At 40.8% G+C, this 26,460-nt stretch overlaps 1 protein-coding gene and 1 long non-coding RNA gene across 6 annotated transcripts in view; one reads left to right on the forward strand and one right to left on the reverse strand.

Annotated features, from left to right (window-relative positions):
* Positions 1-26,460, reverse strand: part of GRIN2B (glutamate ionotropic receptor NMDA type subunit 2B) — a 444,798-nt gene that overhangs the window by 27,418 nt on the left and 390,920 nt on the right. For 2 of the 3 annotated variants that reach the window (NM_001413992.1, NM_000834.5), the window contains 3 exons: positions 7,050-7,210; positions 5,076-5,263; positions 2,271-2,509 (listed from right to left, as the gene is read on the reverse strand). In NM_001413992.1, the coding sequence (NP_001400921.1) occupies positions 2,271-2,509; positions 5,076-5,263; positions 7,050-7,210 (588 nt within the window). The remainder of the gene's footprint in view (positions 1-2,270; positions 2,510-5,075; positions 5,264-7,049; positions 7,211-26,460) is intronic. The other variant, XM_005253351.3, reaches the window with a different exon arrangement.
* The window catches only part of LOC105369668 (uncharacterized), a 38,041-nt gene continuing 28,857 nt past the window's right edge, over positions 17,277-26,460 (forward strand). For all 3 annotated transcript variants that reach the window (XR_001749013.2, XR_931373.3, XR_931372.3), the window contains exon 1: positions 17,277-17,478. This is a non-coding gene — a long non-coding RNA (uncharacterized LOC105369668). The remainder of the gene's footprint in view (positions 17,479-26,460) is intronic.

The following is a 26,460-nucleotide window of genomic DNA, read 5'->3' on the forward strand; positions in this document are numbered from 1 at the left end:
CGAATAGTCTAATATACTATTAGATGTGGCTAGAAGTTTGCCTAATTTATACCCCTAAATTTGGTGACTGTCATGTGGTGAGCTGAGGTCAGTGACCTGGCCATCAGAGGGGGGGGCATGGCCCCACCCAGTAACTTGAGCAAAGGGACTGGAATCATAAGATATGGCATTTTTGCCTCAGCTTCACTGTTGACTTACCGTGGTTTTCTATGCCTAGATTTTCACATCTTAAAAATGAGGCCATGATATCAACCCATAGCAAAAAATATCATCAGCCTCCTGGAAATAAACGGCCATGTTCTATGGACACTGAGGTTGCTCTGCTGTGGCTGGGCCACACCTGGCTGACAGTAAAGCACAGGGGAGCTCAGTAGCTTACAACTGTCACTCTTTTCTAGCTCTGACAAATTTTAAGCAGGTTTAGAATTTTGGTCACCAAATAACAGCTGAGCAATTCTCTTCTTGAGCCAAGCATGAACAAAATTCACAGAAAGAGAGAATTAGCAAGCCCTGGGGTCAAAGAAGGATTTTTCTCCTGCTGTGTTCTACACTGTGGGAGGGAAGAATTGGGAAAAACAGCCAGTACTAAATAGGAATAAATAACTCCCTTGTTGAATTCTCTCATTTATTCTCTCTTTAGCTCCTGTTTTCCTTCTTATACTTTCTCACTCACTTAATATTATCATCAATAATTAACATCTTAACAAATTAGTATTGATCGAGAGCTCCCTGTGTACAGCTCTTTGTACAGGGCTTTGAAGGACACCGTGCAGGAGAGGCAACGGGCTGGGTTCCTGGAGGGCTCAGTATGTTTGATTCTAAAGTCAAGCCAACCTCCTTCTCACATCTTGTTCCCTGCCTGGAAAGGTGGACAAACTTGGAACTTTTCTCCCTGGCTAGGGAAAGCATATGAAAAGAGGTTGTTTGAATTGTGTCATTATAATGAACGGGACTAATTTGGAAAGGGAAGTTGTCTCCGTGGATGGGAATGAGAGGGGAGAGGGTTAGAAGAATCGTAGCGAAATGGGAAAGAAGAAAGGTTTAGACAAGGTAAGTCTCATTGTCTCACAGGGCATCAGCAAGATGGAAGATCTTCAAGGTAAGGTTATTCCACTTTCCCAGTTCTTCTAACCCTTCCTGATTAAGCTCAAGAGAAAATTCCAAGCCTTTTTTCCTCTATAGAGGCATTGATCATGTCAAAGGATTATAAATGGGGTTTTTATTACACATCACCAGCTCCCATGGCTTCTGGTGTTCCCCTATCTGAGATCTTAGGGAAGGGCTACCAAGGAAGCAACATGGCTCAGGGATCATCACCACCCCAAGTTCCAGCCTCCTGTTCTGAGCTCACCTGATGGCCTGAATTAACTCACAGCCAGAAAGGACACGGAGAAATTGTTCTCTATCAGTAAAATACTATAGGAAAATGATGAAAAGATGAAATAATTTAACGAGAAATCAATTTTCTCATTAATACAAAACTCCATTTGAGTCAAAGTTGGTTGGCCATATCTGGAACCTAGACCTTCATTCTAAAAGGACATTTGAGTTCACCTCTCATGACTTAGTCTCTCCACTTTATTAACAAAACCAAAAGAAGCTCACTTTTTAAAAAAACTTCTCCCTGTGACCTGTTCATACATAAAACTGTCTTCCTAGTGTCTCATTTTAGACTAGGAATGAAGAGGAGACCTAAATAAAGAATGACCTAAGAGTTTTACTCTTGCTCCAACTAGGGAAGTTTCTGGAATGTAAATTTCTTATGAGTCAGAGCTTATTTCTAAAGGTTCTGTTAAGCTCTTCAACTCTCCATAACCAACACATGGTTAAAACATAGAGTGAAACAACTAATAATATACCTTTGTATGTTAAAATAAGAGAGATATGTTACATATGATTATTTAAATAGAAATGTACATTTTTAAAGGATTAGACAGTTAATACAATTTATACAGAACCAACTAATGGTGATGAAAGACATTTGGTAAAAAGCCAAATTTTCCATTTTGACAGATCTGTCAGTTCTTACAGAGAACCAACTGCCCAAATCCCACACAGAAAGCTGTTTCTTGAAGGAAATATAGTATCACCCACTTTTCTGAGCCACTTGCAATCATATCACACAAACTCCTAAGAAAACATACATGATGTGGTTTCTTGCTTGAGCAACATGGGGGTGGAGATAGTGTCCTCTTGGTTCTCTCTGCTTTGCACAGTGCTAGGCTAAGCTGTCCCTAACAAGCTTTAGGCATTTAAATCAAAACACTTACTCTGCTGATGGAGAAGACCATGCCAGGCTTGCCAGAACAGACACCCATAAAGCAATGTCGGAACTGCCAATAGAAAAGGTGTTCGCAGATGAAGGTGATGAGGCTGAGAGCCATGGCCGCCCCCAACATGTAGAAGACCCCTGCCATGTTGTCAATGTCCAGCTGGCTGCTCATGACCTCATTCTTCTCATTGTGACAAATGCCAGTGAGCCAGAGAGCTTCCAGTTCTTCCATCTCCCCTGGGGAAAGGACAGAGAAGGAAAATGGATAAAAAGAGGAGACAGGAAAGGAGCAGAGAAAAGGGAGAAAGAGGAGTATTGAGCAAGAAAGAGAAAGATACGTGACAGAAAAAGAGACAAGGAGACAAAAAGAAAGGAAATGAATAAAGTTAACAGTAATCTTATTAATGCCATTACATATTAATTCATCAACGTACTTAGTAAGCATTCAATAAAAATTTCACATGAGTACCGCAGGCGATATGAACACATGAGACGTTGCTCCCGCTCTCCATTATCTAGCCTGTATAAATTGGCATATAAATAATCACAATGACAAGCTGTCTGCAGGTAACAAGAGTCCAAATTGGTGACAGTAATTCTGTGGATGGCATGGCCAGTGGGTTTTCGTGAAGTAAGTAGGAGTTGGAAGTGGGCATGCTGGATGGATGAATTTTAATTTACATTGTACAAAAAGGCACTCCAGGCAGCAGGAATAGTATGGTCGGTGGGAACACACAAGGCTTGTTTAAGTAAAGGCATGCAGAACAGTTCAAACAGAAAAAGGTATAGTAGGCAAAAGAAGCTGAATAAAAAAGAGTGATGTAAGAGTGCTGAAGATCTGAGTATCAGATTAAGCATTCTGTACTTTATATTATAGACAGTGGGGAATAACATAATCAAACGAGTGATTCAGAAAATTGCCCTTAAAATTGTGCAAAGCAGATTGGGTAGGGAGAAGACAAGCAGAGAGAGATGGGCAGAGAGATTGATTGATTCCCTAGGGCCCCTCAGATTTACTGATCTCTTGTTGAAGAAAATAAAGAGCAAAGAGGAGTAAGCTTGGATAAAATAAGACCCCCAAATTCAGACTTGCCTTCTTTACACATTGTTTAACGGTGCTTTGATCACTTTAACTCATGTCAGATTTCAATGACCTTTTTCCACTTCACCAGATGCTAGGAAGTAGGAGGAAGTAGGAAGAGGTCCCAGACAAAAGGAAAGTAAAAGAAACCATGTGCCCTAGAATGCATCTAATTCTAGACAAGCAAAATTCTGAAAAATCTCATGGAGAAAATTGCCTATTCCCATAGTTCTACTTTGGCTAAAAAATTGAACTTTGCTTGCATAATCTGACTAAAGTTTTGGCAACTTTTGCAAATCATCTCTTTCTCATGGATACAGTCTCCATTATTGCCTTTGAGTGACAGCTACACTAAAATTACAGAAGCTCTTATACCAAAATGGCTTGGTAACACTCCAGCTAAAACATCCTCCTGTTTCCAATGTTAATCAAATCACTTTTCCCTTATTTTTTTGATCAAACTATGATTCTCCTAACTAGTGGAGCAGACAACTTCACCTGGATTCTAAAAATCCACCTGTGGTCTTCTGCTTCTGATCTCATCCTTAACAGCAAAGCTGCAGACATAATTGAGATAGCCACTTGGCTGATGGCTGGTGAAGCCAACAAGGGTCTGGCTGCTCATCCACAACTGAGTTAGTTTCTGTAATGCTAACAGAAACAGTAGTTTCTTTGTACAATAAAGTGAAGAGGGATGCAGAAGACAGGAATATAATGAAACAGAAGATGAGATTTTTTTCAACTCAAGTTGGTGGTTCAGTCTGCTGCCAGGATGATACTGGGGAGTGGCTGATGGTGTCTGCCTCTGAGGACCCTAACCCTGCCTTCTGCCTCTTCCAGCTGAAAGAGCAAGATGGGAGAGCAGGAAGAATGAAGAGATGGCCGCAAGTTTATTTCTCCGCCCTACCTCTGGGCACATAAAGAGCAGAGACCTTCCACAGTTCCATCTATTATTTTGGCCACATGTGAGATGACTGGATGAAACATCTAATATCAGTTCTCCTACTTTATCCCTGAAGGTTTGATTATAGCCTGCAACCCAGAAAAAGACCTCCTTGACAAACTGCTTCAATCCTCTCCCTGCCATCTTTCAGCTTGTTATGGGTTGAAAGATGTTATAGAATCCCCCTAAAATATATATGTTGAAGTCCTAACCCCCAATACCTTGGGATGTGACTTTATTTGGAAATAGAGTCATTGCAAACATAATTAAGCTGAGATCATCCCAGAGTATGGTGAACCCCTAATCTAATATGACTGGCATTCTTAAGAAAAAGGGAAATTCAGACACAGACATGTGCAGAGGGAAAACATGCACACTGGTAAAACACCATGTGAACATGAATCAGAGGTCAGGGGTATGCTTCTACAAGATAAGGAATGCCAAAATTATCAGCAAACCACCAGATACTATAGGAGAGGCATGAAACAGATTCTCCCTTGCAGACCCCGGAAGAGATTGACCCTGCTGGCACTGTGATTTCAGACGTCTAGTCTCTGGAAATGTGAGACAAGACATTTCTGTTGTTTAAGGCACTCAGTGCATGGCACTTTGTTATGGCAGCAATAGGAAACAAATATATACCCGAAAACTACACAATATACTGTGAAATGCTTTTCCGGAAATGCACAGGTTAAAGAAATGGAAGAAAAGGAAAGGTTGATGTTTTGGACTGGCCATCAGTAGAGGACAAATGGGCACTTTCCCTTTCTTGAACTCACCATCTCCAAAGAGCTGCAGGATAGCAAGGTCCACCTGGCGCTTCCACCCAGAATCTTTTTGGATGGCAATGCCATAGCCAGTGGAAGCAAAGACCTTCCCACTGCCAATGGTCACCAGCTTGCAGCCTTCATCTCTGCCTGCCATATAGTTCAGCACTGCTGCATCATAGATGAAGGCATCCAGTTTCCTGTACAGGAAAAAAGCAAACAAATCCAATGGAGGAATTTTAGAACAAAACTACCTGTGGGGCCATTAATATGAAGCAGTAGGGTTCCAGAAAACTATGTGGAGAATTGGTTCAAAGTAAGGTTTAAGTTGGAACTCTGCCAGAATCTAAAGCCTAAATCCCAGGCTGTTCTTTATGTGCTTTTGGGTTGAAAGGAGGAGTTCTTTTCTTCCCACTGGGAATGATGAGAATGTAAGTTGGGCCTGAAGCCAACTCATAAACTGTGTCTGAAAGGAAGAAGGAGTAAAAAGGGATCAATAAAAATAATAACAGAAATAATGAAAAGTAACCACTGCAACGAGCAACAAATAGCATGGGGTTAGATTTATATAACATTTTTCATTTCTCAGTTTATTACAGTCTGGAGTGGGGATAAGTGTAGGTGTTTGTGTTTCAATAGATGTGCAATGCTATTTTTGTGGTCAGGAAGGTTCCAGTATTCTGTTGTGCAACACAAGGATAGAGGTGAGGGGTTGAGGTGGTGGCAGTACAGGCTTGTGTAAGAGCAGATGAGTGAAACTACAAGAGAAAGCAAAATACAGAAGAATTCAGATCTCTCAAATACATAAATTACAGCATATAGTTCCTAAACATATAAGAACTTCATTTTATGTATTGTGCTTTGCAAGGCAGAAATACATAAAAAAGGGAATAAGACCAGGCGTAGGGGCAGGAAGGCATGAATCAATATTTAAAACCAACATTTAAACATATCAAAGGTAGAGGAAGAAATTTAGATATAGCCTTACAGGCAATAGAGAGGTCTGCAAGAAAGAAAAGCAACACCATTATTCCCTTCATTTTTATTAGTTAAGTCACCTTGTTAGGTACCCGATAGAAAGGGGAACACCAAAAAACCAAATCCCTGATATGAATGAGAACAGTGGGTGTAGCAGTGGTCAGACTACCCAAAGTGGCCCTACCTTCAAGCTCAAATTCCATCTTCTGAAATCTTCTGTGACTGTATTTATGGTGATAAAATAGAATCTAACAGTATTTTAAGTAACCATTTATCTAGGTGCCTTTTCCAGACCTGGAGCTACAAGGGTATTGAGACAAGGTCCAAGTGCTGTTAGTCATCATACAACAAAGAAAATCAGCTACGAGACCCCTTGACCTCCAAATCCCAACATCTATAATGCTCTGTTATCCATTATCTTCCATAGCTGTGGCTTGTGGAGGCCAAATGAACAAAGGGACCAGTGTGGCTGGGACTGTGCAAGCCAACACATGTGTAGGTCATGAACTCCTATGAATGGACAAACACTCCCTAGAGGACAGAGTATGTTAACACAAGCTGGCACTGGAGATCAGTCAACGCATTCTTACTGTTAATTATCTAAAAACATTTACACTTTCCCCCTTTTATTTCTCCCTTGTCCATAAGACACCAGAACCATAATTTTCACCTCTTGGACAACAGGTCTTTACATACACGGCACAAATACCTTATCCTTCACTCTGCCCTCCTACTTCTACATTTATTTCACTCTTATTTCATGGTTACATTAGTGCAACTAGAAAATAATTTGTAAAAAAAATACATAGAAGTAATAGCATAGGAATCGTTGTACACTGGTCTAAATGATACGATCAAATTTAACTTGGAAATCCATAAAGAGCAAATGAAGTCTTCTTTAACATTTTATGATACCAAGCATGGTATACCTAGTGCATGTGATTCAATAGTATGCTTAATAAATGTGAGAAACAGATCAAGGACTCTGAGCTTGGAAGCAGTTCTTACCCTGTTTTCAGGGAGAGCAATGCATCATCTACACCCCTCTGGTTGAACTTTCCCATGTAGGCATGCATTTCTGCATAGTTATTGCGAATATTTCTCTCTGTGCTGCCGTTGGGCACGGTCCCAAAGCGGAAAGGGGGTGAGAAGTCATTAGGTCTCTGGAACTGGAGAGAGAAAGACAGATAGAGACAGAGCGGGAGATGGAGGGAGAGAGAGAGAGAAAAGTCATTTTAGAAAATGTGAAGAGACATTAAGTAAGTTAGCATTAGTGGATTTATAATGGAAGGGACCCAACTATAATTCACCGAATACATTAGCCCTCACTCAAGAGCAGCAATTGCTATCTGAAAGCAGACTTCAATTCAATTCAATTTAGTACATATTGCTGAGAGATTTCTATTTGCCCAACCCTGACTTTAATCTATAACCCTTCTATGTTCCTTTTATGTACACTACACAATACCAGTGTTGATGGGCCAAAGGAATGTGCTGGTGGCTTAATTGCAGTGGGCTAGTCACCTTTCTTTCTAAAAAAATATGTAAAATCTGTATTCAGGCCTCTTAAAGGCCTAAATACACAGTCATTGCACTATTTTGTCCATAGGGCCTTAGTGAGGTGAGCTATGTGGTACTCCTGAAGATAATTTGTTGAGTATCAAATATGTTTTGCTAAGAAATTTTCTTTTGACCTTCCCTGATGCACTGAAAGCTCATATTTATCCCACATGAGTTGTAGGATAAACTGTACAATCAAAGACAATTTTAATTATGTTCCCTTTCTTGCTTGAGACTGAGAGTACATCTCCAGTGCCCATTATAATAAAGAGAAACCTCTTGGATTTTCATCCCTATGACATCAGCTTTATTTCTGGCTATCACCCTGCAATGCGTAAGTCTTTATGTTGCTTCCTGAACACAAAATTTGTTCATTTGTATCTTCACAGCCTCATATAGTCCATCTCCTCAGTGCCAACTCATCTGTCTCTCTAGGCCAATTTATATCCGTTTCAAAATAAAACTCAAAACAATTTCTTCAAGAAATCTTCTGTGAATTCTTTCTTCCATCAAGTCTACCCCAAAGTGACCCATCAGAACCTGTTATTCTTTGTTTAGATCACTGTAATCCTACACATGCAATTACTCTCTAAATGTGCTAGCTCGTCTCTGATGTCATCATTAAGAGTTTAAACTCTAGATTGAAACAGATACGGATTGAAGACCAGCTCCGCCACTTACCACTGTGTAACCTTGGGCAAGTAGCATAAACGCTCTGTGCATCCTGTCCTCATTTGTAAGAAGGAGATGATAATGCCTAATTTTCAAGAATGTTGTGAGGATTAACTAATATAATGCATAAGAAGTGCTTGGCGGTCGGGCACGGTGGCTCACGCCTGTAATCCCAGCACTTTGGGAGGCCGAGGCGGGCGGATCACGAGGTCAGGAGATCGAGACCATCCTGGCTAACATGGTGAAACCCCGTCTCTACTAAAAATACAAAAAACTAGCCGAGCGTGGTGGCAGGCACCTGTAGTCCCAGCTACTCCGGAGGCTGAGGCAGGAGAATGGCATGAACCCAGGAGGCAGAGCAGGCAGTGAGCTGAGATCATGCCATTGCACTCCAGCCTGGGCTACACAGAGAGACTCCGTCTCAAAAATAAAGTGCTTGGCACAGCACCTGGCACACAGTAGGTGCCCAATAAATGTTCTCTTATATTATTTTTAATTTGTGTCTCTATTCTGCATTTCCTAGTAAACCCACTCTCTAAGCTTCTTATTCTATTAGTACAGCAATGATCATTGTAGCTGTGCTGTGCTTTGGCATCGGAACGACAATGAAGATATTTGAAGTCCTCTTGGTTTCAAGTAATAGTACCATTTACTTTGGAGAAACATTTGAAAATCTAACCTGCCAACTCAGGAGAACTCTGAAGCCTTGGGATTGCCTGGGATTAGAAGTAATTCTTTTCCTTCTTAGAATATGGGAGTTCCATGGGCCACAAAATATCTCAGCACCAGGAGCCATAAATGCCATCTTAATTGCTCAGTGCTGGCCATGGTTAAAACTAGAGTCATGCCGTGGTGTTAGGCAATCTGTGATGCACCAAACAACTACTACTTCCTGACTGAGAAAGCTCCCTCTCTGACTCATCACAGGGCTTTTTGACATTAGAAGTTTTCGTTTGATTATTTTGAAAGGGGTTATAATTTTTAAGTGGATAAAGACACTACAAAAGAGTAAGAAAAATCTACAGCCAAATGGGCCACTCAGGGTTAACTAGCCCAAACCTTTCATTTGACAAATGATGAAACCCAAAGAGGGTAAGTAATTTGCTCCACATCACACAGTGGCATTGATAGCTAACAGATCAGAGCTCAATTCGCCTAATTAATAGTCACTCCTCACTGTCTCCAGCAGATAGCAAGCTTAAAGTAAATAGGGATATGCTTTATTGGAAGAGACAGACACCAGAATGCTTTGCATACCACTATCAAATACAACACTTCAGATGTTTGAAGAAAGATATTCCTCAAATCAAAAGTAGAGTAAATAACTATGGTAGATAGCAATACAACTAATTAACTCCTTTTAATCAGTAATTCCCCACAATACTAGGACAATGACAACTGATGTTTATAATGACTAAGATACTCTAGGGCCCAAGGTATTTTCTGAAACATCAGTGAAAATTGCAATCATGTCCAATACAATTCTGGTATAAATTATTACACTTTAATTTTTCTGAAAAAAATGGCAATCCATGCAAGGTATCTGCAACTAAATTTTATGGTAACTAAATGGAATCCAGTGCCCAGAGGGCCTCACTTCCTGATGAAGCTACATTATAGGTAGTTTTCATACAGCTCTTTATATAGTAATTTTTAATTTTAAATTATTTTTAGATTTCTAAATCCTGTTTTGTAATTGTATCCCTGAATAAATAAAAGCTAAAGAAATGATAAAGGGTCTAGAATAGCCAAGATAACTTTGAAAAAGGAAAAAAAAGTTAAAGGATTTACACTACCTGACTTTAAGATTCATTATAAAGCTACAGTAATCACGAGAGTGTGGCATTAGCGTACAGTCAGATCATTGGAACAGGATAGAGTGCCCACTAACAGAGCCCCACATATATGGTGCAAGGGCCATTCAGTGGAGATAGGATGGCCTTTAACAAATGGTGTTGGAATAATTAGACATCTGTTTGATAAAAAGGAACTTCATTTCACACCTCATAAGATACACAGAACTTAAAGTGGATCATATATCTAAAATGTAAATACTAGAATTATAAAACTTATAGAAAATATAGGAGAAAATATTTGTAATCTTGAGTTAGACAGAGATTTCTTAGCTACAACACCAAAAGCACAATCCACCAAAAAAGGTAAACGATAAATTGGAGTTCATAAAAATAAGAACTTTTTGAAAGATGCAGTTAAAATCATAAAAAAGATAAGCCACCGACTGGGAAGAAGTATTTGAAAATAAATTAAAGCTATTAAAACACTAAAGGAATTAGATAATAACATAGCAAGACTTATATAGTTAAGGCATCCTTCAAATGAAAATAATCGGGCCGGGTGCAGTGGCTCACGCCTGTAATCCCAGCACTTTGGAAAGCCAAAGTGGGTGGATTGCTTGAGCTCAGGAGTTTGAGGCCAGCCTGGGAAACATGGTGAAATCCCATCTCTACCAAAAATATAAAAATTAGCCGTGCGTGGTGGCATGCGCTTCTAGTCCCAGCTACCTGGGAGGCTGAGGTGTGAGGATTGCTTGAGCCCAGGAGGTGGAGGTTGCAGTAAGTCAAGATTGTGCCACTGCACTTCAGCCTGGGTGACAGAGCAAGACCCTGTCTCCAAAATGATAACAACAATAATAATAATAATAATAATAATCAAAATAATCAGAAAAACCAAGCAGTCAGTACTGGGAAGAAGGGAAGTGCTGGTTTGGAGGCAGAGAATTTGGATTTGGATTTCAGCTTTGTCTCAGGCCAGCTGCATGAACATGGGCAAGTTCCTTAAATTTATGGACCTACCCTCTTTTCTGGAAGTATTATTTTAATGAATAAGATAATATGTAAAAAAAATACTTAATACCTGGCACATGATGGAGTCTTAAAATTCTTAGTTGCTTCTATGGAGATGAAGTTCTAACATTTAAAATTGTCCTATGTAAGGCAATGTTCCCTAAGTTTGAAAATTCTTATTCTCTAATTTGTTCCTTAAACTAGGCCAGTCTGGAGGCCAACAGGGAGAGAACATTGCCTCAGAATTAGCCAAAGCAGTGAGTTTGCCTTTTCTTTTGAAAATTCTTGTCCCAGCCTGGTGAGATCTGTGAAGTTTACATAAAACAGAGATTTTTTATACTGTCATTGGAACTTGAACTGTACTAAAATTCACATTCATGGAGAACTGTTTAGGGAGGCCCGTGGGGAAGAAGGAAAAATAATTTCCAAATATCCTGATGCTTCCAGAAAATGCCCTTGTAATAAAACTTACCCCAAGCTGTAAGACATTATATGGCACTTGCTTAGCCTGAGTGGCAATTTGGGAACGAGAAAAATTTAGCGCTGTCAAGAACCAGAATGTCTTAACATTAATAGAACAGTGAGGACCCTGAAAAAATAATTTTTAAACAAATTTAAAAGCCTAATATATCAGGGAGCTCAGTAATTGAATTAAAAAACTCAGTCTGATTTCAAAGTAGGGAAATGTGTATAGTACTCTTTATTTTCTTTTTTCTTTTTTCTTTTTTTTTTTGAAACAGAGTCTCACTCTGTCACCCAGGCTGGAGTGCAGTGTTGCGATCTTGGCTCACTGAAACCTCAACTTCAACCTCCCAGGCTCAGGTGATCCTCCCACTTCAGCCTCCCAGGTAACTGAGACTACACATGTGAGCAACCACACCTGGCTAATTTTTGTACTTTTAGTAGAGACAGGGTTTCGCCATGTTGGCCAGGCTGGTTTCTAATTCCTGGCCTCAAGCGATCCGCTCTGCTCGGCCTCCCAAGGTGCTAGGGTTACAGGCGAGAGCCACCATGCTGGGCTCAGTACTCTTTATTAATCACCTTTGGTCATAGAGCTTCCTTGAATGTGGAATCTTTTTCTAGGAGTCACCCAGATTGGAATTATCAACACATAGATTTGGATAGGAAAATAACACAGACAGGACAGGCCCCATTTCATAGATGAGGAAACCGAAGTCCTGAAGAGATCAAGTCGTTCCAGTAGACACAGTGTAGAGGGAGGACAAGCTGAGACTTGACCCCTGAGTATGGCCTTCCTTTTGCCAGCTGAAATGCTAGCTGAACAGTCCTACTGCTGCCTACTAGGGAGTGAAGCCACACACTGTAAGTGGGGCCACATAGAGTATCTTCCTTTTGTGGCAAATCAAATGCCAATTCCCATCCTTCCCACCGCATTTAACACAGGGCTTCCAGCAATTGCTTGTGAGCACACACTTGCACAAGGGCAAAACAATGCCAGAATGTTAAAAGAGCTGTAATCTCATTTGATCCTCCTGGAGAGCAGCAGGGAATCAGAATTCAGCCCTCTGAGCTGTTCAGATCATCTCAGCCTCCATCTTAATGACCTCAAAGTGAATTAGTCTCAGCAGCCATGCAAGGAGAAAGGTGCTCAAGGGCCAGGAGTCAAGGCCCCCACCCAGAGATGAGCAGACACTAGGGTCCTGGGCTGTTTTGGCTGCCACCTCCCCGCTAGAGAGCTTCTTATACAGCCTGCTGGAGAAAGAAAGGAAGAGGGGAGCAAGTAAGGGAAGTACGGATCTGGTCCATTTTTAATATATAAATTGATTTTCCTATGTATTAGGCATTGTAAGTCATTAATAATTGCCACTCTTATTCAATACCTATGTATGTACTGGGTATAAGTTACATTATCTCCTTTAACTATGATAATTAAAATACATCCATTCATTTGGCAAATATTTGCCCAGCATCTATTAGGGCAGGAGACTGTATTAGGAACAGAGATACAAAGATGAAAAAAATCAGACCCAGTTTTCAAGGAGTTTGCATTACAGAGAGTCAGAAACATAAACATTCATTCAGTTTTTCATCCATTTACTTTTTCATTTCATGTATTTATTGATTTCATTCATTTATATAAGCATTCAGCAAGTATTTGTTGGTGTTTATTGTGTACAGAGGAGATGCCTGTGCTGAAGATGCAGTATTGCAGAAGAGTATGATCTTGCCTTCAAAGAGTTCACATTATAAAGAAGAGAGGCAAACAGTAAGCCTGTTTTTTATTTTTAAAATTTCTAAACAATCTTTTGTAGAGATAAGGTATCTCCATGTTGTAAAAGTTGGTATTAAACTCCCAGCCTCAAGCAATCCTCCTACCTCAGCCTCCCATTCGGTTGACTAAAGTCTGCCAGAAATTATTTGCCACTCTATGACAAACAGGTCCATGTCCCCTCCCTACCTTGATTCTTAGCTGACCTAGGTGACCTGCTTAACCAGTAGAAGTTGACAGAAGTAACATTGTGGGATTGCTGAGACAAGGGCATAAGAAGATTTGCAGCTTCCACCTTGGCCTTTGGAAACCTCGCTCTGAGAGAATCGGTGCACCATGTCAGAAGTCCAAAAACCCTGAGGCCACCATGCCGGAGATTCCACCTATAGGTGCTCCCATCTCCAGTCCTAACTGAGCCCTGGACTTCTACCCATTCCAGTCAGAGCCAGGCATTAGAGTAAAGCCATTATGGACTCTCCAGCCCAGCCTCCCACTGAATATCAGTCATGCTACATGAAGTAGAAGAATCACTCAGGCAAGCCCTACCCAAATATCTGACCCACAAACCAGTAAAATATAATAAAATATTCTTGCTTTAAGCCACTAAGTGTTGGGCTAGTTTGCTGTGTAGCAATAGGTGACGGAAACACAGATAATTTCAAATAGTGAAAAAGAAGTGCTAGGAAGAAATTGAAACAGCATAATAGGATAAAGAGTGATTGGTAGGAGAACAAGTTTAGACTGGCTGTCCTGAAAAGGCCTCTCTGAGAAGGTGGCATCTGAACCGAGACCTGAATAATAAGAAAGAACCAGACATACAAAGACAAGGGGGAAAATGTATCAGGCTCAGGAAACAGCAAATGCAAAGGTTCTGACATGGGGGAACAAGCTTGGTGTGACCAGGGGCTATAAATAATGTGGCGGGTGCTATGAGCAGCTGTGCCCATGCAGCAGTGAGAGAACAGAACAAGGGGGCTGTCTCGATGGTGTCCCAGAGCCTGTGCACTGGGGCTAAGACTTAACCATTTAAACAAGAGGAGCAAAATGGTTTCTAGATAGAGACGAGTGTCTGTTCAAAGACACAAGGTGGTGAGAAAGATTGGGCATGATCAGAGACCACGAGCAGCTTATTGTTGCCAGAGCCTAGCAGGTATGGCCATGGTGACAGGAGGTTGACACAGCTGAAGAAGGAAGCAGGGCCTGGATCACAAAGAAAGTTGAATTCTGTGCAAAGGAGTTTAGAGTTCATAATATAAGGGATGAGAAACAGCAGAGCTTCTGGAGTTAAGCTGCCTGATTCAGATCCCAGCTATGCCACTTGATAGCTGTGTGACCTTGATCAACTCACTTAACTTATCTGTGCCCCAGTTTCTACATTTGTACAATGGGCTGCTAATAGCACCTACCTCATAAAGTTTAAGTATTCAACCAGTCAATCTGGGCAAAGTATTGGCACAGTGCCTGGCTGATAAATACACTATGTTAGCTATTGTTACTATCATTATTACTATCATCATCATTGTCATCATCATCTTCATCATCGCCATTGGAAGCAACTGAAGAACTCTGCCAGAATGACAAGATTGGGTTTTTGTGTTAGAAAAAGTCACCAGGTGCTGGTGTGCAGAACAGGTTGAAAGGAGTAAGATGGAGAGACAAGAGCTGAAGAGGCCCTGAGCTCTGGTGAGGGTATGGGTGCTACAGTCGGATAAGAAGGAACAGACGCATTGTCAGATATTTCCCTACACTACTAGCTAACATACAAGACCACAGAGGTGCACGCCATTGACATATAAATTTCCTGAAAGGCTTCTAGAAGGAGGCTGAATTGAAGCTGGCAGGGAGGATGGATTGGCTTTGGAAGGGTGGCGATGGGGCGTTAACATCAATTTACACCAGAGGAACTCTCTGCTTTAAGACTCCTCCAACCTGGTTAGCTTCCAGGGTGAGAATGAAGAAACATACTTGTTGAGAAGTCTTTAAGGTCCTGGCACCAGGAGAGGAGCAGATTCTGAAAACAAAACCAAGAATGTCCTAAATACTGATGGTGTCAAAGCAGTGGTCGTTCTGACCACCAGTCAAGGCCATCTCCTGATCAGCTGTCACCCAGTCCCAAGGACAATAATCAGAGTCAGATCCGGTGAATAACAGCACATAAATGAAAGCAGCTCTGTTAAAATGAAGAGGATGGTGAGGAACTGCCTTCTTGGGTAGTTGGCTTCCCTGAAAAATGGCTCTACTCATTCAGTCTGTGTCCAATCAGCATATGCAGATTAGGACAAACCAGTGCTGTGACCTTGCAGAGGCGGATATTGCACATCCTATTTGCAGGGATCCATCCATATGAGATATAGAATCTGGGGGCTTTTGTCTTCAAAGCTTGACAATCCTACACATAAATATTCATTCCATTACTTCTGATTTTACATTTGCATCACAAAAAGAATCAATGCCCAAATGCCACTCAGCCCTTCCAGGCACCCAAGAGAAAAAGTGGGAAAGGCTTAGGAGATGTGAATGGCTTTGGGCCTGGGCTAATTATGAGGAGGTGGCAGCACATCAGAATTCTGAAGACACCACATTTTTACCTACTCAGCACCCTCCTGTTATTATTGTCATTACCCTATTTTATATTTTAATAGTACTTTTAAATTATTGACTTTTATTGTCATGAATTTTAACCAGGTATGGAATCTTGCAGTCACCGCCACAATCAAGACACAAAACAATTCCATTTCTCAAAAAGCTCCCTGGTGCCACTCCTTTCAAGTCACACACTCCCTTTGCTCTTAACCTCCAGCCACTCTATCCCATAGTTTTGCCTTTTCTAAAACGTCATATAAATGGAATCCTGTAGTACATAACCTTTTGAGACTGGCTTTTTTACTTATGATAATGCCTTTGAGATTCATCTCCAGGCCTTTGCATGTATCTGTAGGTCATTCCTTCTTATTGCTGAGTAGTATTCCATTATGTGAATGCACCAGTTGATCCATTTATCTATTGAAGGACATTTGAGTTACTTTCAGATAATTATGAATAGAGCAGCTGTAAACATTCATGTACAGGTTTTTGAGTGAACATGTTTTCATTTTTCTAAGGTAAATATTCAGGGGTGGGAGGGATGAGTCATATGCCCCATGCTCCCAAAGTTTTTTACAGCTCTTCTATCTTTTGATCTTCTCAGTTTTTCCAGGAACTATCAAGCAAGTACAGAAACTGACATTATCTTCCTTAGCCCAGGGGTGTTGCACCAAACCATGTTTTCCATCACTAAATCTTCCATAATAATACCCTATGGCCCAATTAGGGTGAAGGGATATGTATGTGTGATTCCAGACTCTGGGCAGCATCTGGAGAGGGGAGGAAGTGGCTGCAGGAAGCACCCTCTCTCCTCTTCTACCATAATCCCTTGTCGGGCCCAGTGGGAGAAGAAGAAGGTCAGGTGACCACACAAGGAGTAGACTTTCTGAGAGCATGAGCTCCTTCACTGTTCCATGGCCCATAAGTGCTTGGGACAGATGTGAAAAGGAGGTAATCTGTGCTTACAGTGAAAAGACAATTTTAGCCAGGCATGGTGGCTCACACCTATAATCCCAACACTTTGGGAAGCTGAGGTAGGTGGATCACCTGAAGTCAGGAGTTTGAGACCAGCCTGGACAACATGGCAAAATCCTATCTTTACTAAAAATACAAAAATTAGCCAGGTGTGGTGGCGCATGCCTGTAGTCCCAGCTACTCGGGAGGCTGAGGCAGGAGGATTGCTTGAACTCAAGAGGCAGAGGTTGCAGTGAGCCAAAATCGTGTCACTGCACTCCACCCTGGGTGACAGAGTGAGACTTTGTCTCAAAAAAAAAAAAAAAAAGACAATTTATTGATAAAACGTAAGTAAACACATGGGTTATGGGCTCAAAGATCTAAGTTCAAATCTGAGCTCTACTACTTATTAACTGTGTGACTCAATAAACAAGCCACTTAGCTTTGAAACTGAATTTTAACAATGTTCCAAAAGGAGAAATAAGGTATAGCATCTCACTACAAATCCTCCATCTCAAAACATGGGGCCTGGAGTGGCCCCCCAAGACCCTACCCCTAAAACAAACTGGCTGTGGATATGGTGACAGATTAGAAAGTTAAACCCTTCACCTCCATGAAAGAATCTGGAATGGAGGTAAGAGGAATAAATAATTATTGTTATATTTCATTATAAAGTGTTCATTGGAGAGAATATTGTTCAAATTCATTCAAAAGGCATGGCTGAATTATGGAAACAATAATATTGCAGAATGTAGTTAGAAGCTACCGGTATATAGGAAAATTGCCCAAATTAACTCTGTTCTCTTCCTGGGCCCCTGATGAATCTGACGACATTTTGCTACTGCCAAAAAGGGAGTTGGCATATAATAAGCATTCAACACCTTAATTGTTTCTGCTTGTTTTCCTCTTATTATTAACATTAGTGCTATAATTGCCTACAGTGGCAAACACCCTTAAGTTTACATATGAAGAGACCTGCACTTGGATGTGAGAAGGCTGGTAAGTGGCCTTTCTCCTGCCTCTGGCTGTGCTGTCATTCGAGGCTGTATCTTCACAGCTCTGGATGCTGTGCTGCTGGGGAAGGAATTTTGTGCCTCTCTGAACTCAACGTGGAGCTGGGGTTCTATAATAGGTCTTAGAAGGGTGGGGGTGGTGAGGACTGGAACTTATTCTCCTGTCATCACCCTCCTGCTGGAGCCGAAACAAAAGCTTGCAGCAAATAAAACACCAGTTCTTCAGATTCCTGGAATTTAGTTAATTACCAGTTTTCCTCGCAACGATGGTTTTAATGCAATAAGGCAGTCACTTCTTTTGTATTTTATAAAATTTGGATACATAAGCCTTAATATTTCCTGAAATATTTCATAAAATCAGATAATGGCATGTTAGCTAGCTGAGGCTTGGTCCCTGAGTTAGCAGAGCCAAGAAAGTGGGTTTATTCCTATATTAACTATATTAACTTTAACATATCATAACCTGCACCTTGAGGTTTTAAGTGTTTGGCAAAGTCTTGTGTCTGGCCATAAAATATCACATCAGTAGCACACATTTAAAGGGCATAAACCACATATAAGCCACTGAGCTCTGAAATAAAATGAGGCAACAGATACAATCCCTACCATTACAGTTTAGCTGGAAATAATGATGATGATAATTATATAATTCCAGCAGCAGCTAATGCTTCTACAGCACTCACCATGTGTCACATAATTTACGTATAGTAACTCATTGATCCTCTCATTGATGCTATGAGGTAGGCATTATTATCTCCATTTAATGGACAGGGAAACTAATGCACAGACAGTAAGTAATTTGAATAAGGCCATACAGCTAGAAACTATCAGAGCAAGGATTCAAATGCAGGATACTCATATTTAACTGTAAAACACACCACAGGGCTCTATGCAAATAGAATGGATGCTCAGAAAATGTACAGATTAAGGAATCCAGTGCCTGAATTAGTATGCCTATCCAATGGGAGGTAAGGAAAGGAAGGGCTACGGAAGTTTAGAGGGAGTGAAAATCATTACAAAAGGATATGGTTGGGGAGGCTGCACAGAGCAGGCAGAGATGGAGCCAACTCCTCCAGATTGGCCAAGTTTATCCAGGCAAAGAGGTCTGGGGAGGGTGATGGGGCAAGCGAAATAGCATGAGAAAAGAAGCACTGGGACGTGAGCATGGCATCTGCACTGACGTTGGGAGGAATGTTTGGCGCCTAGATAGAAACCATCCCATGGAGCACACCGAATGGTCAGACTGAGGAAGGACACTGTGAACCCCACAGTGCTCAGGTGTAGCTATTGTTCAGCTAAAGCAGCATGGCTCGAAGAACAGAGAGGTTAGAGAAGGGACGTTTACTGGAAAACTACTAAGAGCCTGGACTATTTTCAGAGGGAAAATAATGGGAGGGATAAATGAAAAAGAAAGACATCAGAGTGGAAGCCTTGACTGAATCCAAGTCTGCCTATACATTCAGAAGAACGAAGGAGAGGAAGCGGCAGAGTCAGCCTCATCCCCACCACCTTCTCTCCCACTCTCCTCCCTCACCCACTCCTCAGGAGCCACACTGGCTTCCTCGCAGTTTCTAAAACTCACCAGGCAAGCTCCTACCCTCACATGCTCTTCTCTGCCCCAAAAGCCCTGGATATCCACATATATTGATCCCTCACTAACTTTGGGCCAGACTTAATTGCCTTTTTATTTTCTGCCCTTTCCTCCTTAGAATGTAATATAATGGACACAGTTTTGGTCTGTTTTGATCACTGCTGTATCTCTAGTGCCTAGAAAAGCATCCAACACTTAGTAAGCTCTCAATATGAATGAATGAGTGATTTAAAGAATGAATGAATTGAATCGCACATGTGGATATATTTATTATATGAAAAACTCCATTCAAAGTGCACTATTTAGCTGTTGATACATTATCATGCAACACACAGTTGAGCATTAACATTCCTCAGATCTAGGGCAAGCCTAGCATCTCTGGTGAATAAGGAGTTAATGTGTCCTAATGCCAGTCAAGGACATCTTTCCTGGCACTTTCTCCATTTTTCCTTCACAAAATATATCAGATCTGAAATCCCGCAAGAGCCTGTCAGACTTAGGACTTGACAATGCATATGAATATTTCTTTGGCACCAAAAATGTGACAGAGTTAGAGATGATTATGATAACATGGAGATGAAGTGAAACAGAGGCATAAGGACAGAGGCATTTGAGTTTTATCCTTAAGTCATCCTGTGTGTGACAGGTGGCCTTCGTTGAGCTCCTTCAACCTATTCTTACACAAGATTGTTACAAAGAGGTGTTATTACTGTCCACTGCACTCTACCTCACAGACCAACTTGGGAGGGTACAAGGGATTGTTCCAGATATTTTATAAAAGCTGTGGGTGCTAGCAAAGAGAAATGGCCTTTAAAGAAGCTTTCAAGTAAAGAAGACAGATGGATTCACCATGGAAACTGGGATTCTGAAGTTGTACCAGGAGCTTCAGCAGCTCATAAAATTTTGGAGGAGATAAAGAAGATAAAGAAGACTACCAAGATTTCCACATGCAAGATTCCCAATGAATTTAGGGTTCTCCAGTTATTAGCACAATCACCTGAGGTTCTAATACGGTATCAGCATCTTCAGAGTCATGAAGCTGGGGTGGGGCGGAAATGTCAAAGACCTCCGCCAGGCGGAGGCCAGGGTGAGTGAGGATCCAGTGACAGGCAAGGCAGGGGGACAGGTGTGTCTCTGCCCTCCTGGCAATCAATCAGATCTGTCAGTTCCAAATTGAGGCACGGAAATGCCAGCATGTGTACTTACTGTCACATTGTGACCCACTTACAGCCCAGCAGAGCTTCTTCCTTTGGTCAATAAAGTCAGCCCTATGCGAGGGACACTCCGGTTTATGGAATGTTAGTATTGGGATGCAGCCTGGCGATCCCACCACGCACACTGCATGCCCCTCGGGGTTCACAACGGACCATCACAGGAGAGGACTCGAACAATCCTTTGGTAAAGAAACTTATGTAACCCTGACACAGCATTTCCCCAAACTTATTTTCCCATGGATTTCTTTTTCTCAAGAATAGCCATTATGTTTCCCAGAACACTCATAGGCTATGAAACAGTTTGAGAAATGCCAGTTGAGCAACTTTCTGCCTGTACAGAGGAGGAAACAGAGGCCTGGGAAATTCATTACCTATCGAAGACCAAACAGCCATTGTCTGCTTCTGTCTCCATCTCTTTTGTTTTTAATTTAGTCTCCACACATGTATTGAGTACCTACTCTGCACCAGGAGCTGCCCTGAACAGTCGACAGCAAGATACGGCAGACATTTCCATGTCTCAGGCTTTTAGGACTAATGGGATGCCAGTGTACTTCAGTTGTCCTTAATGGACCTCCAATTATAATGCAAACATAATTATTATAAGGTGACTGCTACAAAAGTGAAATATCAATAACCATGTTGGTAGAAAAATGAAGTTCAATTTTTCCAGTTGACTAAGGGTTAAGCCAAAAAACTTACTTTCAACCCTTTTGATGAAAATCATTCTAAACTATAGTCATTCAAACATATTCAGTGAGCATCTGCTATGTGTCATGATACAGGGAGGTAAATGATATACAGAAATTAAGACACAAAAGACCATACATGGTTTAGGACATTATGTTTACTATGTACTTATTCCAGGAATATCCTAGAAACTGTCATTACTTTTAATAATTTCTTTATATAAGCTTTCTTTGTTATCATTATATCTTTTCCCCTCTAAAAGTGGCAAGGGGACATAGTTATTTTAGGGTTGGTTACTTTTTGTTACAGAAGCGATATTTTCCTATGAAAATAGAAAGTTCTCAGCAAACACTTGGCTGACTGGGAAGCCGATGCCTCACCATTCAAAGAACAGGGCAGGCTTAACACATGCATACAAGGAGGGGACTCCTGTGCCTGTCTCACACAGGAGCCGAGGAATAATCAGGGGCTTTGAAGAAGTCATTGCCAAATAGGTCCTGAAAGAACTTTATAATTTAAGATCCGACAAGCCACATAGCAGCACAGTTGGAGACCTCACTTACTCAGTTCTCTTCTGAAATACCTGCCCGATTTAGATGGTGTGACAGGCATAGAAACCACAAGGTGAGAAAATTCTATCTGGGATTCTAAATGTCAAATATTTCTTATCTACATTACCCTCTCTTCCTTCCCCCTCAACCATTGGTCATGAAACTATCTTTCACTGTTCTCAAATTCACATGGCTAATAAAGAGTGAAAAGTACTGCCTTATGCTGTGGACACTATATGAATTACATAACTGTCTTCTTATTCATTCATTCATTGACTAGTTGGTTAATTAATTCATCTATTAATATGTGAGCACCTATATGTACGAGACCCTATTTTAATTACTGCAGATCCATTAGTGAACAAAACAGACAAATTCTTGCCTTCATTGAGTTTACAGTCTAGTATGAAGAGACAATTAAATATTATAAATATGTTAAATATTAATATATCACACCATACAACATATAAATTCTATTAACATATAAAAAGATGGAAGGACAGAGAAGAGTAAACTTTCTTTAGATCCTCTTCCAAATTTTAGATCAGATACTCATCTGGTGGCCTGAACTTAGACTGGTCATTCCCTGGAAACCCTTGTCTTTAACAATATACCACTCGTAAGCATCTTCCTCTCTGAGTCTAGCCCCACTAGCCTGATGTACATTTTCTTTTCTTTTCTTTTTATTTCTTTTTTTTTTTTTTGTATTGTTTTTGTTTTTGAGATAGGGTCTTGCTCTGTTGCCCAGGCTGGAGTGCAGTGGCACAATCACAGCTCACTGAAGCCTTAACCTGGGCTCAAGCGATCTTCCCACCTCAGCCTCCCAAGTAGCTGGGACTACAGGTGCTTTCCACCATGCCCAGCTAATTTTTAATTTTTTTGTAAAGACAGATATTTGTCTTGTTGCCCAGCCTGGTCTCAAACTCCTGGGCTCAAGTGATCTTCTCACCTCAACCTCCCAAAGTGCTGGGATTATAGGCATGAGCCACCACACCCAGCTGAATTTTCAGAAGAACAACTTCGAGTTTATGTCGGAAAAACATATTAACATTTATTTTTTCCACTTAAAATCAGAAGTCCTGTTTCATCCCAGGCTTGGAGCAGACACTTTTTCTAGAGTAAGCAAATGGGCTGAAGAAATAGTATTACTGGTATAATAGCTTGCCTTTGATTTGTAACAGATATTTGGGGAAATATTCTCGATGAGTCAATTTCACACCTGTTTGGTTGGTGCAAAAGTAATTGTGGTTTTTGCCATTAAAAGTAATTATTTTTTAATGACAAAACCGAATGGCAAAAACCGCGATTACTTTTGCACCAGCCTTAATATAGTTTAAACATGCAAATTAGAGGGAAACAGACTCACTAATTGGGATACTTCCTCACCTACCTAGTGGGAAGTTACTCACAAATGGTCTTATTGAACTCCATGATAATTCTATCATGAGACCAGGCCACTGAATCCTTTTCATGGTCTGAAATGTGCATCTCATGTTCTCTTTGTCAATGGATTACAGAGAAGGTAGCCTACTTCAAAATTCTTGAAATTCCAAGGCAGGAGCTAATTAACAAATGGAAAATGTTTCTAACCTACAGCAAAGAATGCTGTAAAATAAAACGTTTCTCTTTCAAATAAGAGGCTCCATCACTAGGCAGGTGAGATACTTAGTGAAAGGATAGACATGACCAGTTGTTGGGAGTGTGGGGCAACTTATTAAACACACAGGGAAGGGTCTTGTTTTCTTTAATAACTTAAGTGACAGGATGAAAAAACCTGCTCTTTAAACCTGCTGTAGGCATCAAATTGGATTGGATGGATGGCTACTTGAGAAATAGAATTAAACATCAAAACAGTAAGTCTGGCCTGACAAAAGAAGATATTAAAAGGATGAAGTTAAATTAGGAAGCATACAAAATAATTCTTACAGGATGTAAAACCACACTGCACTAGAACTAGAAGGGACAGGAACAGGCTTTGTCAAATGCATGCTCAAGAAAAATCATGCAGTTCTACCTGACCACATACTGCATGCATACATAATGCAGTGCTGCTTTTTTAAAATAAAGAGCCTGTCACTGGACGCTAAAGAGCAATATGTGGAATGGATGTGGTCAGGCTGCGTTATACACCAGTAGGAGGGCTTCTGACCACCGTGTGTTCTCTTCCATAACTCACAGCAGAAGGTTCAGAAATGATTAAAAGTGAGGGGAGCAAGTCTTCTTGTAAAAGATTAAGACTATATTTAGCCTTGAAAGGAGCAAAAGAGGAAATTCCTCTGTTGTATTTACCATCCTATTTTTTAAGAACGAAGTGTCTGCCTCCCTCACTAGACTCTGAGAGTAGGGCTGTTTCAGCATATCTCCAACGTCTCACAAGGTAGGGTTTCCATGACATTTTGGGACATACTTATACTAAAATCATATTCACAATTTACCTGAAATTCACATTTAACTCGGTGTCCTGTATTCTTATTTGCTAAATCTGTTAGCTCTATTCAAAGATTAACTAGTAACTATTCAATAACGATTAAGCTAATTGTTGTTATATACTAGGTATTATTTTAAATGCAGAGGATATAGTAACTTTTAAAAGCCAGGTAGATGATACAACAGAGGCTTTAGTTAATTCAAAGAAATGAGGACAGGAGCAGGATTTTGGTAACAGGTAGAATCCAAGTTGAACAAGGGGCTTACAAGGTGATTGAGGGTGGCAGTTTCTAGAGACTTTGAGATAACAAAACAGAGCTACTGATCTTTTCTATTCTGAGGGCCTCTAGGCCTTAGCTATAGGCAGTCTGGCAGATGCTAAGGACTCCTGAGATAGACTAGGTGGTTGGACACTAACCTTAGTACCAACAAAAAGATCAGAGATTATGTTTATGCAGAGCTGTTCTGATTTTCCTGTACTCTATTCCAGTAAGTGCTATGTAGTATTTAGAATCTATCTGATGAATGAATAAATGAAAAGTAGGCGGTGAGACTGAAAAGCAATGAAACTGACTTGTATCCCTCATTTAGAGAACATCATTACATTCTACTTGCAACTAACAGATACACAGGATAAGTCACATTAATAGCTAGTATGCTTTAAGAATGAATTTGCCAGGAAAAACCCTATGTGGTATAGAGGTTGGAAGACAAGCTCTCTGGGCTGGGAATGGAGAAGAGGAGCTTCAGGAACTAAAACCACTGGGACTCGGCCTCTCCCAAACTCACATCTAACTTGAAATTACTATGAATTTTCCAAATGGCAAGGGGCCTTCAGAGAGAGTATTTCCTTTAATAGTGGACAGATTATGATAGACTATCAACTATGGCAATAAAAACAACTTTATTGCTAAACACAGTAGTCAAAATGGGTATTAATTAAAAACTTAGAAATGTTATAAATTATCTGGCTGCATCAATAATTTGCAATGAAACTAAGGCTCTTCTCTAAGTCTCTGAGAGAGCTTGAAGTAGAATAAATTAGGTTTACTTTTTCTGAGTGTCTGAAGGAACAGAAAATTCTTTGGCAATATATGCCATGCAAGCAGGGAAGGCCTTAAGAAAGACCTAGTTTTTAAATTTTTATTTATTTATTTTATTTTAAGTTCTGGGATACATGTGTAGAACGTGCAGGTTTGTTACATAGGTATACACGTACCACGGTGGTTTGCTCCACCTATCAATTCCCCATCTAGGTTTTAAGCCCCGCATGCATTAGGTATTTTTCCTAATGCTCTCCCTCCCCTAGCCCCCCACTCCCGACAGGTGCTGGTGTGTGATGTTCCCCTCCCTGTGTCCATGTGTTCTCATTGCTTAATTCCTACTTATGAATGAGAACACGTGGTGTTTGGTTTTCTGTTCCTGTGTTAGTTTCTCACTAGTTTGTTGAGAATGATGGCTTCCAGCTTTATCCATGTCCCTGCAAAGGACATGAACTCATTTTTTTTATGGCTGCATAGTATTCCATGGTGTGTAAGTGCCACATTTTCTTTATCCAGTCTATCATTGATGGGCATTTAGGTTGGTTCCAAGTCTTTGCTATTGTAAATAGTGCTGCAATAAACATATGTGTGCATGTGTCTTTATAGTAGAATGATTTATAATCCTTTGGGCATATACCCGGCAATGGAATTGCTGGGGAAAGACCAGTTTTATAATTTGCCCACTCCTGTGAGAAACCATTTCCTTGGGGTAGAGCCCAGTAGTCAGGTGGAATCATAGTTGAAGCTCACTCTTGAAGTCATTGTTTTCTACCACAGAGATGGGCAAAAGACACAGATTCAGAAATGCTCACTGAGCCCTTACTATGTGCCTAGGAGGATGCTGGGAGCATGCTTTCAAAAGACCCACAAGGTTGGCTGCAAAGAGGTACTAGGCACCTCTTGTCTGAGAGGGCCATGAAGATGCTCTTCATCCAGGCATCCTCGGAGCCAGAGCTAGTTTCAAGGGGTCTAAGCACTGCAACTCGCCTGCTGCCCCTTCCACATCTTTTTTAGCCCTGACGTTTGACCTTCCCTCCACCAGCCCTCCTACTCCCACCTCAAAATCTCACTGAAACAAGTGAGTGCCTGG

Source organism: Homo sapiens, chromosome 12 (assembly GCF_000001405.40).
Source record: "Homo sapiens chromosome 12, GRCh38.p14 Primary Assembly".
In the NCBI taxonomy this organism is placed as follows: domain Eukaryota; kingdom Metazoa; phylum Chordata; class Mammalia; order Primates; family Hominidae; genus Homo; species Homo sapiens.